Source organism: Homo sapiens, chromosome 8 (assembly GCF_000001405.40).
Source record: "Homo sapiens chromosome 8, GRCh38.p14 Primary Assembly".
NCBI lineage: Eukaryota > Metazoa > Chordata > Mammalia > Primates > Hominidae > Homo > Homo sapiens.
This window is the reverse complement of record NC_000008.11, coordinates 28,459,486-28,476,149: the sequence shown is the minus strand read 5'-3', so window position 1 is coordinate 28,476,149 and position 16,664 is coordinate 28,459,486. Positions and strand designations below refer to the sequence as shown.

Below are 16,664 nucleotides of genomic sequence, written 5' to 3'. Positions count from 1 at the left end.
CCAGTGGGCCACACCATCATTGGACACCATGCTTCAACTTCCTCTTGAAGCTCTGTTGTAGTCTCTTCTTCTTCCTGTAGTCAGACCAAAGCATGGGCAGAAGTACATCAAGAATGTAAGGCTGGAAGTCAGAATGGGGAAGACCAAGGATCTGGTGAGGAATCAAGTGCAGTGTTGAGCTGAACACACAGTTTGGACCCAGGGATTTTTAAAATATCTGTAAATATAACCTCTTTGGTCCTCTGCTTATCCTTTCTAAAATATGGGAATCGAACAAAAAGACCTTTAGGATTCATTTTAGCTCTAAAATTCTATGACTTCTGAAGCTTTCTTGTTGTTGTTAGTCAATCAGCAAAATGGTTTATTGAGGGCCTTCCATGGACTCTGTACTTGAGGGTTCTGTGGAGCATGTAAGAGAAAGTGGTTGTAATCTACTTGGGAAGATAAAATTAACAGAAACCACTAGAGAGCAAAACAAACACTGTAAGGTCTAAGTGAAGCGTGAACTATAAATTGAGTAGGAGTTAGGAGGAGAGAAATCCCTGGACATCAGAAAAGTGACAACATTGGTTGCATGGGTTGGGCGATGCATGATTGATAGAGAAGAATTCAGACAATATTTGAATCCAGATACTTTGAATCTTCTGTGTTCTACAGATTCTCCTCTACTTCTTTTCATCTAGAAATTCTGAGTTTATCTGTTGCCATTATTTGAGGGTCCTGGTAGCCCAGGTGGCAGTTAGCTGCAGGGGAGGGTCTTTTTCTTCTTCTCTTATGTGCAAAAAGTGTCTGTCTGTGACAGAAGAGATTCCCTGGCCAAGAGCAAAACTGACATTTCACTGGTCCCAAAGTGGTGGTTGAACCAGTTATTTCAATTCCTATTTTGTATGTCCTTGGCAACCAGAGCTTGAGAGTTAAAAAAGGAAGGAAAGCATGATGTGTGGGAAGCATAAAACCAGCTCCTCAGCCTCTTCCATAAAAAGAGAAGAAATAGGCCTGAGCCACCTCTCCAAGTGGGGACATTCTTACAGCACTAGAGAATGTAGCAAGTGCCAAGAGGAGGGAAAAACATCAATCCCAATTTTGAAAGCTGACAGAGGGTGTATGGGATAAAGCAAGCGAGACATTCACATATGTTCATGACTCTCTCTTCCTCTCTTAATAACCCCCTTCTCTGCCACGTGTCCCCACGTTAGTCTTCCTTTCCTCACTCACTGAAATATACATATGCACTGATGCTCAGAAAACCACCTCAACACCAATATGTAAAGATACTCACATTGTACTGATACATCCATAAGGATATTCATTCTCACAATCACATTCTTTCAATTCAATAAACATAGATACCTGTAACATGCTCTGTAAGCACTCTACTGGAGATGTCAAGATGAATAAGACTTAGTTTCTGTCCTAAATAATATATTGTAATAAACCTATACCAACAAGTATTCAAGTGGAAGCTCAGAGGTGCACACACACACATTTCTAATCCTACAGATGTGTACATACTTATACACATATGTGAGTACTTATCACATCTGTGATATGTGTATACACTGAAATAGAAAAACAGAACTGATCATTCACTTGTTTTGTAAATTCTCATACTATTAATATTGAAACATTTCAGATGGGGGAGTTTCATGTTCCTGTTTTTTCGTTAGTTTTTTCATCTCCTTTCAAATTCTAAAATTGATTTCTCTTTATAATTCCATTTTTAAAATTTCTTTCACTTTAAAAAAACTATTTTTTCTTTTCTTTTCTTTCATTTTTTCTTTTCTTCTTTCTCTCTCTTTTTTTTTTTTTTTTTTTTTTTTTTTTTTTTTTTTTGACAGGGTCTGGCTCTGTTACCCAGGTTAGAAGTACAGTGACGTGATCATAGCTCACTGCAGCCTCAACTCCCCGGGCTCAAGCGATCCTCCCACTTCAGCCTCAGCTGGGACTACAGGGACACACCACCACGCCTGGCTAATTTTTTGTATTTTTGTAGAGATAGAGTCTCACCATGTTGCCCAGGCTGCTTTTAAACTCCCTAGCTCAAATGATCTGCCTGCCTTGGCCTCCCAAAGTGCTGGGATTACAGGTGTGAGCCACTGAACCCAGCCTTATTACTTCTTCTTTCATATGAATTATTCCACATGTAGAAACTGAAAGAAAAAAAAAGAGAGAGAAACCTTGCCCAGGGTAAAAATATATAACCTCAGGAGTAAAATCTGCCTTTTAATATTCAGTTGATACAATGAATGTTTATTCACCGATCCCTTAATGGTATCTTTCTTGTAATGGGTATTTTGAACTATGGTATATGAAATTACCATATTCTTTTTTACTTACTGTAGGTATTTGAAGAAAGAAGAGCCCTGCTTGGCAAATGGGTAAACATTTAAAAATACTATTTTTGCATTATGTTATGTTATCTGTTTTCATCTTTCAGGCTGCTATTAAAAAATCAGACTGGGTGGCTTATAAATAACAGACATATTTTACTCAACTTGGATAGAAAGAAAAAAACCCAGACATTTGTTTTTCATGGTTCCGGAGGCTTAGGAAGCTCAAGATCAAGGTGCTGGCAGATTCAGTGTCTGCTGAGGCCTCTCTTCATAGACAGCCACCTCCTCACTGTGTCCTCACATGGCAGAAGAGGGAGAATGAATTATCTGGGGTCTTCTTTATAAGGACAATAATCCCCTTCATGAGGGCCCCACCCTCATGACCTAATCACTTCACAAAGACCCCACCTCCTAATCCCATCACACTGGGGGGTTGAGATTTCAACATGAATTTGGGGGTGATGTAAACATTCAGTCTGTAGCATTATCACAGAGGCCAGAGAATTCAGCTTGGATTTAAGGGAGTGCTTCCTCATTTCCTGAGAAGCATGGCAGGTGCTTTCTGTAGGTATCAGTTAGGATTTGGTCAGGAAAACAGAAGTCGTATCTTATTTTAACAGACATAATTCAATGAAAAGGATTGGTTAAGCAAATATTGGAGAACAGAAGAGACAAAAAGGGAATGCTGAGGTTCCAGGGAGACAGAACTTTGGGAATTAGCTACCATCAGCTTTCCTGGTACTGAGAGCTCAGAGGGAAGACCTTCAGCCCCATAGGGAAGCCAGATTTCTGTGGAATAAAGTAGATGACATCACAGCCAGCTGGTTCTGATACAGTTGGTGAAGCATGATGGTTCTGGGTGTATGGGAAAAAAACTGGACCTTGGAATCAACAGCTACTGTCAGGGTCAAGAGTTAAGTGATCCTGATAGGAACAGCAACCAAATAGGAGTAAGTTTCTCCTCCCTCAGTTTCCCTCTAGCACCTTCCTCCTCATTGGCAGCATTTATCAGGGAGCCAGCTGTCAAAGGAGAAATATGGTGATAGAGATCTTGCCTTCTTTTCTTTTTTTGAGACGGAGTTTTGCTCTTGTTGCCCAGGCTGGAGTGTAATGGTGCCATCTCGGATCACTGCAACCTCCTCCGCCTCCCGGGTTCAAGTGATTCTCCTGCCTCAGCCTCCTGAGTAGCTGGGATTACAGGTGCCCACCACTATGCCTGGCTAGTTTGTTGTATTTTTAGTAGAGATGGAGTTTCACCATGTTGGCCAGGCTGGTCTTGAACTCTTGACCTCAGGTGATCCACCCCGCCCCCCCTTGACCTCCCAAAGTGCTGGGATTACAGGTGCGAACCACATGCCCAGCCCAAGAGATCCTGCCTTCTATGCTCACAAAGTAGAGCACAGAAAGGTGGATATGGGTCAGGTGCAATGGCTCACAACTGTAATACCAGTACTTTGGGAGGCTGAGGGAGGAGGAGAGCTTAAGGCCGGGAGTTTGAGACTAGCCTGGGCAACATAACAGTTAGACCCCATATCTACAAAAATAATAATTAAAAAAATTAGCCAGGCATGGTGGTGCTTTCCTATAGTCCCAGCTACTTGGGATGGGTAAGGCAGGAGGATTGCTTGAGCCCAGGAGTTCAAAGCTATAGTGAGCTGTTGCACTGGTGCACTCCAGCCTGGGCAACAGAGCAAGACCATGTCTCAAAACAAACAAACCCCAAAATAGAAAGATGAATTTGGATCTGGGGGACAGTAGCTTAGTAACCAGCACAGTTTACCCATTTGGCTACTCAGCATTCATATATACCCTTCTATAGATCCTGACACTTCCATACAAGAACTGTAACAATGTTATGTTTTTACCTAACAAGATACAACTATCCTTCATCAAAAACTAGGACTTTCTCATCTGTGCCTCAAAAGGAGGGACACAAAGTCTCAATGGCCATCCCTGGGTGATGATCAAAATATCCATCTCTGGGCTTTTTTTTTTTTTTTTTTTTTTTTTTGAGATTCTCTGTTTTCTTTCTTCAAGAGAGTAATCTATGGAGGCAGGGCTGGCTTCTTCCTGTTTTTCGTTATACATTCCTTGATGCTTACCAGGCATTAACAGATATTTTCTAAATCAATAAATAATGGTCTCTTGTTTTTCTCCTTTCCCCAAACAAACTTATTCCTTAAAATCACTAAGTCATATGGTAGCCTATGTACCCCTGCAAAAACCCAATGAATTGGGCTTAAAGGAGATATTTATAATTTATCTTTATTTACATTTCTGTCTCCATTTTAATTTTTAGATTTTCTTTGTTTGTGTGTTTCATGGACAAGACAGTAACATAAGAAATGCATTTTCGAAAGAAAGAAAGAGAGAGGAAGGAAGGAGGGAAGGAAGGAAGGAAGGAAGGGGAAATAAGGATACCAGTGTTTTTACTTAGCATTACTTGGGATTTTCACTGTAGACATCAAGCACTGTCTTAGTTTTAAAGTTTAATCTAGTATTAGAAGTGAAATCATTTTTTAAAAAAGAATCTAGACAGTGAGAGATAAAATATAATATGAATTGTATTCAATGATAGACAGTCCGGAAGTATTTTTATATTTGGCCATACCTGTCTAATGTTCTGTACAACAGCAAATAAAATAATTAAGAGAAACTGAAAAGCTCTTCTACTTTGCTGTTTCATGCTACTACTTAATCCCCTTCCTCTCAAATCTTCTCTGCCCTTCAATCCCTGTTAGAAAAGGTGATTCCCTCCCAAACTGAGAGAGAACACCACAGGAGAAGTGAAAAGAGAAAGAATCTCAGATTTTCTCTCAGCTTCTGCTCTGTTGCTAATATAAATAATAGTAACATAATAACCCATTTTAATAAAGTAGATGGCATCACTTTTAACTTGCTGGAAACCACCATAATCAGAGTTAGAATTCAAAAGAGAAACAAGGAAAACTGTTTTGCAAATTGCATGATAGCAAAATGATTAATATCCAGGATATATAAAGAGTTCCTACAAGTCAATAAGAAAAATACAAATATCCCTACAGAATAATGGGCTAATATAAGAATGAAGAATATTATAAAAAATGAACAACAAGCATATAAAATATGCTCAATTTTACCAAAATCAGAGACATGCAAATGAAAACAACGAAATTCCCAAATTCTCTCTTCCTTGCCTATATGGCAAAAATTGAAGAGCTAGATAATAATATATAATATACCCTGTAAGAAAGGATTCACTGGAAAGCAGGAAGATACTTTTAAACTCACTTGGTAAAGACCTTTTAAAGACAATTTGACAGGATCTGTTAAAATGTTAAATGCACGTACGCTTTGAACCTCTATTTATGTATACTAGAGAAATATTCATTTAGAACATGAAAAGGCATGAAAAAGCATGTGCCAAGATATTGCTCCTCCTCCTCCTTTTTCTTTCTTCCTATTGGAAAGGTATCAGTAGTAATGGTATCAGTAGTAAATTGAGTAAATAGAAAATGCCATATTCATCCTGCTATGACTGAATGAGAAGACAAAAAGCTCTGGAGTTCATTACATATCAGGACATGTGTGGCTACATTTTGTTCACTTATTTATTATTATTATGACTTTATTTTTTTTTTTTTAAGACGGAGTCTTGCTCTGTCGCCCAGGCTGGAGTGCAGTGGCACGATCTCGGCTCACTGCAAGCTCCGCCTCCTGGGTTCACGCCATTCTCCTGCCTCAGCCTCCCGAGTAGCTGGGACTACAGGTGCCCACCACCGCGCCCGGCTAATTTTTTTTGTATTTTTAGTAGAGACGGGGTTTCACTGTGGTCTCGATCTCCTGACCTCGTGGTCCAGCCGCCTCGGCCTCCCAAAGTGCTGGGTTTACAGGCGTGAGCCCACCGCGCCCGGCCTATTATTATTATTATTATTTTGAGACGGAGTCTCGCTCTGTCGCCCAGGCTGGAGTGCATTGGCGCGATCTCGGCTCACTGCAACCTCCGCCTCCTGGGTTCAAGAGATTCACCTACCTCAGCCTCCTGAGTAGCTGGGATTACAGGTGTGCGCCATCATGCCCAGCTAATTTTTGTATTTTTAGTAGAGACAGAGTTTCACCATGTTGTCAGGCTGGTGTTGAACTCCTGACCTTGTGATCCACCCGCCTTGGCCTCCCAAAGTGCTAGTATTACAGGCGTGAGCCACCACTCCCAGCCATTTTGTTTATTTTTTAAACTGCTACATAGTGTTCCCTGGGATGGGTGTACTCTAATTTATTTCACTGCCACTAAGCTGATGGAGATATGTGTGTGTGTGAATGTATAGAAATGCATGACAATCTTCCAGGCATGGTGGTGCCATGCCTCAAGTCCCAGCTAATCCAGAGACTAAAGCAGGAGAATTACTTGAGCCCACGAGTTTGAAGCTGTAGTGCACGATGATCATGCCTGTGAATAGCCACTGCACTCCAGCCTGGGCCACATAGCAAGACTTTGTCTCTGAAAACAATTTTTTTTTTTTTTCTGAGGCAGGGTTTCGCTCTTGTTGCCCAGGCTGGAGTGCAATGGTGCAATCTCGGCTCACCACAACCTCCGCCTCCCAGGTTCAAGCCATTCTCCTCCTTCAGCCTCCCGAGTAGCTGGGATTACAGGCATGTGCCACCATGCCCAGCTAATTTTGTAATTTTTTTTTAGTAGAGATGGGGTTTCTCCATGTTGGTCAGGCTGGTCTCGAACTCCTGACCTCAGGTGATCCGCCTGCCTCGGCCTTCCAAAGTGCTGGGATTACAGGCATAAGCCACCATGCCCGGCCCTAATAAAAAAATTTTTTTTTAATTAGAAAAAAAGGAAATGCATGAACATCAAACTTTTGAACACTGGTTATCTGTGGGAGATGAAGTGAGATTTAATGGGGAGCAGTGTTAAAGAAGCTTTTCATTTTTTATTCTATTGATTCTATGTGTGCCTGCTTGAAACTTTTTTTTTTTTTTCAAGATGGAGTCTTACTCTGTAGCTAAGGCTTGAGTGCAGTGGCGTGATCTCAGCTCACTGCAACCTCTACCTCCTGGGCTCAAGTGATCCTCCCACCTCAGCCTCCCCGGTAGCTGGGACTACAGGCATACGCCAACATGCCCATCTTTTTATTTTATTTTATTTTTTATTTTAAGAAACAGGATCTCGCAATGTTGCCCAGCTGGTTTTGGTCTTGAACTCCTGGGCTCAAGCAATCCTTCCTTCCGTGTTGGCCTTTCAAAGTGCTGGGACTACAGATGTGAGCCACCTCGCCCAGCCCTGTTTGAAACTTTTAAGACAAAAACGTATTTACACTTTGTGAAATTAAATTTTTGATAATAGGACTCAGAAACTCAACCAGAAGAGATCGTATAACCAATAAGTCAACAGAAACAAGCCTCTCTCTTTATCCCCCTCCCACCCTCTTTTTGCCATTCAGTGTGAGGTGGGTGGAACCTGATCGCCCTAGCAACCTTCTCACTTCCTGAAATGGCAGCAAGAATCCTTGTAACAACTACTCTAAAAATAGGATGTGCATAGTTATATTGAGTCAAGAAAGCCTTAAAAAAGGCATCCTTCAGGAATGAATTGGGAAGCAAGGTACCGTACATGATGCTAGAATAGGAGAATAATGGTCCTGACGGTCCCCCAATCTCATACATGAGGTCCCTGGCTACTCAGTTAGGGGTATTTTTGCTTGAGAGGTGACGCAAGAGACGTGGGGGATAACTGAATTCCTGTACAGTTAACCCCTCCATGGATTATCTACTTTTTGGATTATTTCTAGCACCTTCTAAATTGTAGAGGGATTTTCCCCTACTGTTCAGCATTCTTCTGAGTCATCTAACCTTCTTCAGTTGGTAGTTTAAGGAATGTAAATTAGTTTTCTATTAGCCTAAACAAACACAATTAGAAAGGAAAATCCCTTGAGGCAAAGAACACCTATCAAAGCCAAACAAATTACCTCTGACCATTGTAATCAGGGAAATAAATGAGGAACCAATGTAATTATCTTTTTAATCGCTGGGGAAAGTGTTTTAATGTTTTCTTTTATAGATTTCTTCAGTATTGTGTAATACTAATGTTCTTTTATATTCGTGTTAAATCACTCATTCTGCAACCTGAGTCCATTCTCTTTTGGGGACAGCGGGAAAGTAGATGAGCTAACCTCATTTATTCTCAATGCACTTTCCATCCTTGTCAATGTACAAACATGGTAATTTTATGCGCACATCTTTTTATAGTTACTTAACCCACATACATATTATTTTTAACATCACTGTGACATTTTCTAATAGTAGCTGCCATGTCTACAATGAGTCATGCACTCTATTAGGAATTTTATACATATATTATTGTATTTAATCCTCACAACCACCCTACAAGGTAGATGTAATTATCTCTAATGTATAAATGAGGAAATCGAGGCTGACATATTTCTGATGAGTAAAAGAACTAATAGAATATTGGGAGTGAGACATCAAATTGTCTTATTCCTAAGCCCACCATCAACCCATAATGCCCTGCTTTCCCCTATCATGTTGATATATTACGGTTTGTTTAGCTGATCCCCTACTATTAGGCATTTTGAGTTATCTTTGATTTTGTTGTGGCAGCCATAATATCTTATGAAAATTTTTTGTAACCGTAATCATCCTGGGTCTCAACGTAGCTCAGCCCCACCAGACTCACATAGCACTGCCCAAAAGTAATTTTAGAATGAATTCCAGGCCAGATGTGGTAGCACATCCCAGCCACTCAGGAGGCTGAGGTGGGAGGATCCCTTGAGCCCAGGAGATCGAGGCTGTAGTGAGTAGGATTGCACCACTGTACGCCAACCTGGCGACACAGCGAGACCCTGTCTCTAAAAAAACAGAATGAAATAAAAAATAAGTAAAATGAATTCCAATCTTCATTTTGTCTCTTTCAAGGAAAACAGGAGATCCAGTTCAAAACTCACAGCCATACTCCTCCAATCTGCCTTCACTCCCCAGCTCTCCCACACTAGCTGCCGTAGAGGCTACCATTGCCTCTGTGAGGCCCACAACTCCCGTCAAGCCAACTTTCCAACTGTTCTTCCTCTCTCGCCTCTCACCTTCCTTTTGGCTCTTTATCGCCATTCTTCTGCTTCAGCCTCCCATGTAACTGGGACTACAGGCGCCTGCCACCATGCCCGGCTAATTTTTTTTTTTTTTTTTAAGTAGAGATGGGTTTTCACCGTGTCAGCCAGGATGGTCTCGATCTCCTGACTTCGTGATCCACCCACCTCGGCCTCCCAAAGTGCTGGGATTACAGGTGTGAGCCACCGCGCCTGGCCAGAAGTCTCCTTTTATGGGAGTTGGAGATATGGCTTGTATAGAAACGGGGCTAGGAGATGTCAGGGAACACTCACACATGAATCAGTTTTATTCCTGTAGTCTTCGCAGTTAAAGTTTTTGTTTTTTCATTTTAGGGTCCTCCTCCTCCCCACTGCAGTGATAGTCTCCAAAGTGAGATTTGTGGGTCATAGAATAAATCTATAGTAGTGAATAGTTTTATTTAGGAAGTATTTCTACTGTTATTCTACTGTTTTTTTGTTTTGTTTTGTTTTGTTTTTTCAGATGGAGTTTTTGCTCTTGTTGCCCAGGCTGGAGTGCAATAGCACTCCGCAACCTCCGCCTCCTGGGTTCAAGCGATTCTCCTGCCTCACACTCCCGAATAGCTGGAATTACAGGCATGTACCACCATGCCTGGCTAATTTTGTGTTTTCAGTAGAGACGGGGTTTCTCCATGTTGGTCAGGCTGGTCTTGAACTCCTGACCTCACGTAATCCACCGGCCTCGGCCTCCCAGGCATGAGCCACCACGCCTCTAATGTTAAAATTTATGGAAGGCCATTGTTTTGGACTGAGCTCCTATACTAGGCCCCAACAGACCAAACCAACCCAGAATGGAGGCACTCTCACGTAATCAAACTGAACTTTAAAAAGTGCCAGTTTAAATTAAAAATGAAAACCAGGACCAAAAACAAAAACAAAAACAAAACAACAACAACAAAAACCCAAAACAGGAGATTCACAGCAACCAATCTGAAGGGCCCCAGTTTATCTGAGCTGGCGTAAGAAAGTCCCCTCTGTTTTAATCTTATGAGAAAAGTAACTCTGAAACAATCAATCCACTTTTTGTTCCTTATTTCTGCTTTTTTAAAAATTTTTTATTTTTTTTTTATTTTTATTGACAGGGCCTCTCTCTGCTGTCCAGGCTGGAGTGCAATGGCATGACCACAGCTCACTGCAGCCTCCACCACCTGGGCTCAAGCAATTCTCCCACCTCAGCCTCCTGAGTAGCTGGGACCACAGGCGTACACCACCATACCCAGCTAACTTTTTATTTTTTTGTGCAGATGGGGTGTTGCTCGGGCTGGTTTCAAATTCCTGGGCTCAAGAGATTCTCCTGCCTCTGCCTCCCAAAGTGCTGAGATTACAGACATGAGCCACCACACGGGGCCTATTTCTCCTTTCTTCAACACATTTCTGCCCCTGAAGCCAACCAACCTCCTCTGCTCAGCTCTGAGGAGCTCTTATCTGTTCTTTTGATGGGATGCTACCTGATTCATGAATCGCTAATAAAAGCCAATTAGATCTTTAAACGCAATTTGTTGACATTTTGTTTTTTAACACTACTAATTAAAAAATATATATCAAGTTGACCCTTGTGAAGCCAAAAAGAAAAAAAAAAATCAAATAAATTTAAAATACATTGTACAACTGTGATGAAGTTAACTTGTTGTAAGGCTTGCAAAAAATAAATTTTTCCTTTACGTGCCTTTTTAGGTAGTCAGTGTATTTTATGATTATGACTAAAATAATTATAAACAGATTATAAAATTCTGTTTATAGCCGGGCACAGTGGCTCTCGCCTGTAGTCTTAGCACTTTGGGAGGCCAAGGTGGGTGGATCACGAGGTCAGAAGTTCGAGACCAGCCTGACCAACATGGTGAAACCCTGTCTCTACTAAAAATACTAAAGTTAGCCAGGTGCGGTGGCGCGTGCCTGTAATCCCAGCTACTCGGGAGGCTGAGGCAGGAGAATCACTTGAACCCAGGAGGTGGAGGTTGCAGTGAGCCAAGATCACACCACTGCACTCCAATCTAGGCAACAGAGTGAGACTCCGTCTCAAAAAAAAAAATTCTGTTTATAATAACTGTACTGAATATATGTGAAATGCAATAATATACAAAAATACAACCAGCTCAAACTTCCCTATTTTCTCTTCCCCAATGGGCCAGGGAAGAAAAGAGATTAAGACTTCCAGTGAAGTAGCTCACTAAGCTGGTAGTGTTGTTCCCTTTTTCTCTTTTGGTTTTGGGCAGTCTCAAGGTGCTCATCCTTGGTCATTCCCTGATCTTGGGTGTTGTTCAGGGTAATCTCTGAGGAAAACTGTGAAGTAGCCAATTGTTGGACATACCCTGGCTTCCTTTGGCATTCACTTCCTCTCTTCAAGTCCTCCTTTATCAACACATCCTCTCCAATCATATCAGTCATTTACATACTAGTGAGAATTTACGCCAATATACTTTCCTTCTGAGGGATATTTGCTTGTAATACTTTATCTCCAATTGTGAATACAAGGATTTGTTTCTGGTCCTGCTGTTTTAAGCACTGATGGGATAATGCAGAAACTATTTGGGGGGAGGAGCTGCACAGTTATTTTATCTTAAAATTGTCTTTTATAAGCAGATATATTCTCAGTTTGTGAATATGGCCAGCTCCCAATTTATTGTTCACATGTGACTGCAAGTTTTGAGGTCACATGCACTTCTGTGTGCGCACTTAGGTCATGCACATGCTCCCATATAAATGTGAGAGAAGATAGGTGGCAAAGCATGGAATTTGCTGATTAGGGAAATAAATACTAGAAATAAATTACTAAACTCCCTTTCTATGCCATTGTCATGTCTTACTCGTAATGAATCTGCTATCAGACTAAACCTGGAGCTTTTTACATTTTGCTTTGTTTTGTGTTTCCAGTTTGACAAATGGACAGACTCTCAAAGAAGAAGAATCCTCACAGGCCTGTTGGAGCGCTGCTCGCTGTCCCAGCAAAAGTTCTGCTGTCGAAAGCTTCAAGAGAAAATTCCAGCAGAAGCCCTGGACTTTACAACCAAGCTTCCAAGGGTGTTATCTTTATACATCTTTTCTTTCCTGGACCCTCGGAGCCTTTGTCGTTGTGCACAGGTAAAGGCAAGGAAGGGGTATGTGGTGTTTTGTGAGGACAGCCTTAGGAAACTTGAAACTTGAAACTAGAAGTTAAGGGGAAACACAGGCATACACACACACACATATATACACATACACACAAACACACACAAATGTACACTTAGACACACATATACTCATAAACACACACATACACATATACACACATACATATACACACACACAAATACATACAAACACAAACACACAAACACACACATATACACACATATACACAAACACAAATATACACACAAACACACATACACATATACACACACACACAAACACACACAAACATACATATACACATGCACACACAAATACACGCACAAACACACAAACGTGTACACAAACACACACACGGACACACATAAACACACAAACACATACACAAACATACACACATATACACACACAAACACACATACACACACAAACATACACACACACACAAAACTAAGAAAGAGAAGGGATGATCAATATGTTTGTACATTTGGATTAACCTCCACCATCTTTGTGTCCAACTCTATTTAGAACTCAAATGGGGAAAAAAGTATAAGCCACATTAGTGTACAACAAAGAAGTATTAGCTAGTTGGGGAACTAAATATACATGTAAGAAATGGTTCATCAGCAGGACGGTCTTATACTGCACAGCATTCAGCTGCAATAAGGTCCTCAATTGTAGAGCACAGGGCATTCATGAATAAAAAAGCTCAAAATAAGGACCTAATGAGATATGTACAAAAGAGAATGAGACTAAAAGAGATCCAAGTGGGCAGGTGTGCTCATACAGGCCTTGGAAAAGGAGATGATTGTTCTGTTTTTTTCTTTTACAAGTAATTCTGTCCTGTATTAAAGTGAAGTTAAATTATTTTAGATATAAAACTGATAGTCATTTTGTTGAGTCTTTTCATAGAGTTTGGCAAGACCAGATATTACCTGCCAGTGTGCATTCATATATGTGTGACATGTTAACTTTAGTTTTTAAAATTAAGAAAATGAATGCGGGGCCGGGCGCGGTGGCTCACGCCTGTAATCCCAGCACTTTGGGAGGCAGAGGCGGGCGGATCACAAGGTCAGGAGATCGAGACCATCCTGGCTAACACAGTGAAACCCCGTCTCTACTAAAAATACGAAAAATTAGCCGGGCGTGGTGGCGGGCGCCTGTAGTCCCAGCTACTCGGGAGGCTGAGGCAGGAGAATGGCGTGAACCTGGGAGGCAGAGCTTGCAGTAAGCCGAGAATGCGCCACTGCACTCCAGCCTGAGCGACAGAGCGAGACGCCGTCTCAGAAAAAAAAAAAAAAAAAGAAGAAGAAGAAGAAAATGAATGCAGGAGAAAAGATGGGTCCGGGTGTGGTGGATCACACCTGTAATCCCAGCACTTTGGGAGGCCAAGGTGGGAGGATTGCCTGAGCCTAGGGGTTCAAGACTAGCCTGGGCAACATAGGGAGACCTCGTCTTTACAAAACATTTTAAAATTAGGTGGGTGTGGTGACGTGTGCCTGTGGTCCCAGCTACTTGGGAGGCTGAAGTGGGAGGATTACTTGAACCCAGAAGGTTGAGGCTTCAGTGAACTATGACTGTGCCACTACACAACAGCCTGGGCAACAGAGTGAGACTCTGTCTCAAAAAAAAAAGTATTATTCAATAAATGGTGTAGGGATAATTGAGCAACTCTCTGGAAAAAAAAATTTCAGTAGGATAAAAGACAGATAAAACCAAAGGAAACTATTAAAGTCCTCAAAGAAAACAGGAAAGGAAGCCTTTGTGAGTATTCCATGATACCCAGAAGTCTTAAAAGAAAATATGCAATTTAAAATCTTGCTTTCTTCATTTTATGTATCGTGAGCAAGAATGAAGAAGCAGATTTTTAAATTGTGACTATAAAAATTAAAATATTCTTCATGGAACAGAACGCCATAAATAAATCCAAACAGTAGGCAGGGAAAAAAATCGATTGCATGCAAAGGGCTAATTTCTTTATTTTTTTTCAAGAGCTCTTATAAATCTATATTAAGAAAAAAAAAAGACCAACAACCCAGCAGAAAAATGAGCAAAGGAAATGAACAAGTAATCTGCAGAAAAAGAAATGCAGATGTCTCTAGAATATGTAAGATGCTTAGCCTCATTATGGCATGCCATCTTTCTTGACTCAGATTGAGATTTGTTTTAAATGATAATATTCTATATTGGTGAGGATGTGGGGAAACAAGAACTTTCATATATTGCTGGTAGATAAATAGATGTAACCACCATGGAGAACCATTGGGCAGTGTTAACATTTCAAATAAAAATTCCCTTTGCCCCAGCAGTTCCAGTGCTTGGAATTTGTCTGATGGGTGTCCTGCAACATGGTAAAAGCCATACCTGTATAAGAATATTGCAGCATTGTCTGTCCTAGCAACAGGTTGGAAACAATGAAAATGTCTACCAGGAGGGACTGGGTAAATAAGTTGCAACTATCTCCACGACGCGTCATTGGTAAAAAAAAAAAAAAAAAAGCAGAGGTATAGAACTGTCCTACCATCTTATAAAGAATAAAGAATATATACGGCCAGGCACAGTGGCTTGCCTGTAATCCCAGCACTTTGGGAGGCCATGGCTGGCAATTGCTTGAGGCCAAGAGTTTGAGACTGGCCTGGGTATTATGGCAAGACCCCCATCTCTACAAAAAATACAAAAATTAGCCAGGTGTGGTGGCACGTGCCCATAGTCCCAACTACTCGGGAGGCTGAGGTAGGAGGATTGCTGGAGCCCAGGAGGTTAAAGCTGCAGCGAGCCAAGATTGCAGCACTGTACTCTAGCCTGGGAACATAGCAAGACCCTGTCTCTACAAAAGTTAAAAATTAGTCAGGTCGGCCAGGCGCAGAGGTGGCTCACACCTGTAATCCTAGCACTTTAAGAGGCCAAGGTGGGCAGATCACTTGAGGTCAGGAGTTTGAAAACAGCCTGGCCAATATGGTGAAAACTCATCTCTATTATAAATACAAAAATTAGCCCAGTGTGGTGGTGTGTACCTGTAATCCCAGCTATTTGGCGGGGCTGAGGCAGAAGGGTTGCTTGAATCTGGGAGTTGGAGGCTGCAGTGAGCCGAGATCATGCCACTGCTAGCCTGAGTCACAAAGTGAGACGCTGTCTCAAAAAAAAAAAAAAAAAAAAAATTAGCCAGGTATAGCGCATGTGCCTAGAGTCCCAGCTACTTGAGAGGCTAAGTAAGGCAGGAAGATTGCTTGCTTAAGGCTGGGGGGTTGAAGGCTACAGTAAGCTATGATCATGCCTCTGCACTCCAGCCTGAGCAACAGGGTGAGACTTTGTCTCAAAAAAAAAAAAAAAAAAAAATATATATATATATATATATACACACACATATATATTTGTTACTGTATGCCTAGAATATTCTGGAATTATATACCAGAAACTGGTAACAGTGGTCTCATCCAAGGAGAAGAATGGGTAACTGGGGGATAGTGATGGGAGAGGGACTTCCTTTGTTTCTTTGAATTTGGTATTAGTATGCACATACCTATTCCAAAAATGATTTTTTGTTTGTTTGTTTTTTGAGATGAAGTCTTGCTCTGTTGCTCAGGCTGGAGTGCAGTGGCACAATCTCGGCTCACTGCAACCTCCGCCTCCCGGGTTCAAGAGATTCTCTTGCCTCAGAATCTCGAGTAGCTGAGATTACAGCATGCGCCACCATGTCTGGCTAATTTTTGTACTTTTACTAGAGACAGGGTTTCACCATGTTGGCCAGGCTGGTCTCAAACTCTTGACCTCAAGTGATCTGCTCACCTTGGCCTCCCAGAGTGCTGGGATTACAGGCATGAGCCACCACACCTGGCCTGAAATGATTTTTTAAAAGAACATAGCAATCTGGATGCCTAGTAATAAGAGGGTATCAAATAGCCATATATGATGCATTATTATTATTATTATTATTATTATTATTATTATTATTATTATTTTTGAGACAGGGTCTCGCTCTTGTCGCCCAGGCTGGAGTGCAATGGCTCGATCTCGGCTCACTGCAACCTCCGCCCACCCCGGGTTCAAGCAATTCTCTTGCCTCAGCCTCCCGAGTAGCTGGGATTACAGGCGCATG

At 41.4% G+C, this 16,664-nt stretch overlaps 1 protein-coding gene across 2 annotated transcripts in view, besides 1 other annotated feature; it reads left to right on the top strand.

Moving 5' to 3' along the window:
- Positions 1 to 16,664, top strand: part of FBXO16 (F-box protein 16) — a 61,818-nt gene that overhangs the window by 14,080 nt on the left and 31,074 nt on the right. The window contains exons 3-4 of one of the 2 annotated variants that reach the window (NM_172366.4): positions 2,343 to 2,378; positions 12,332 to 12,538. In NM_172366.4, the coding sequence (NP_758954.1) occupies positions 2,343 to 2,378; positions 12,332 to 12,538 (243 nt within the window). The remainder of the gene's footprint in view (positions 1 to 2,342; positions 2,379 to 12,331; positions 12,539 to 16,664) is intronic. The other variant, NM_001258211.2, reaches the window with a different exon arrangement.
- Positions 1,380 to 1,439: an enhancer, noted in NCBI's record as "active region_27173". NCBI's record gives its function as "activates an Ori minimal core promoter by ATAC-STARR-seq in GM12878 lymphoblastoid cells {active_cell/tissue: GM12878}" and the evidence as "EXISTENCE:reporter gene assay evidence [ECO:0000049][PMID:35858748]".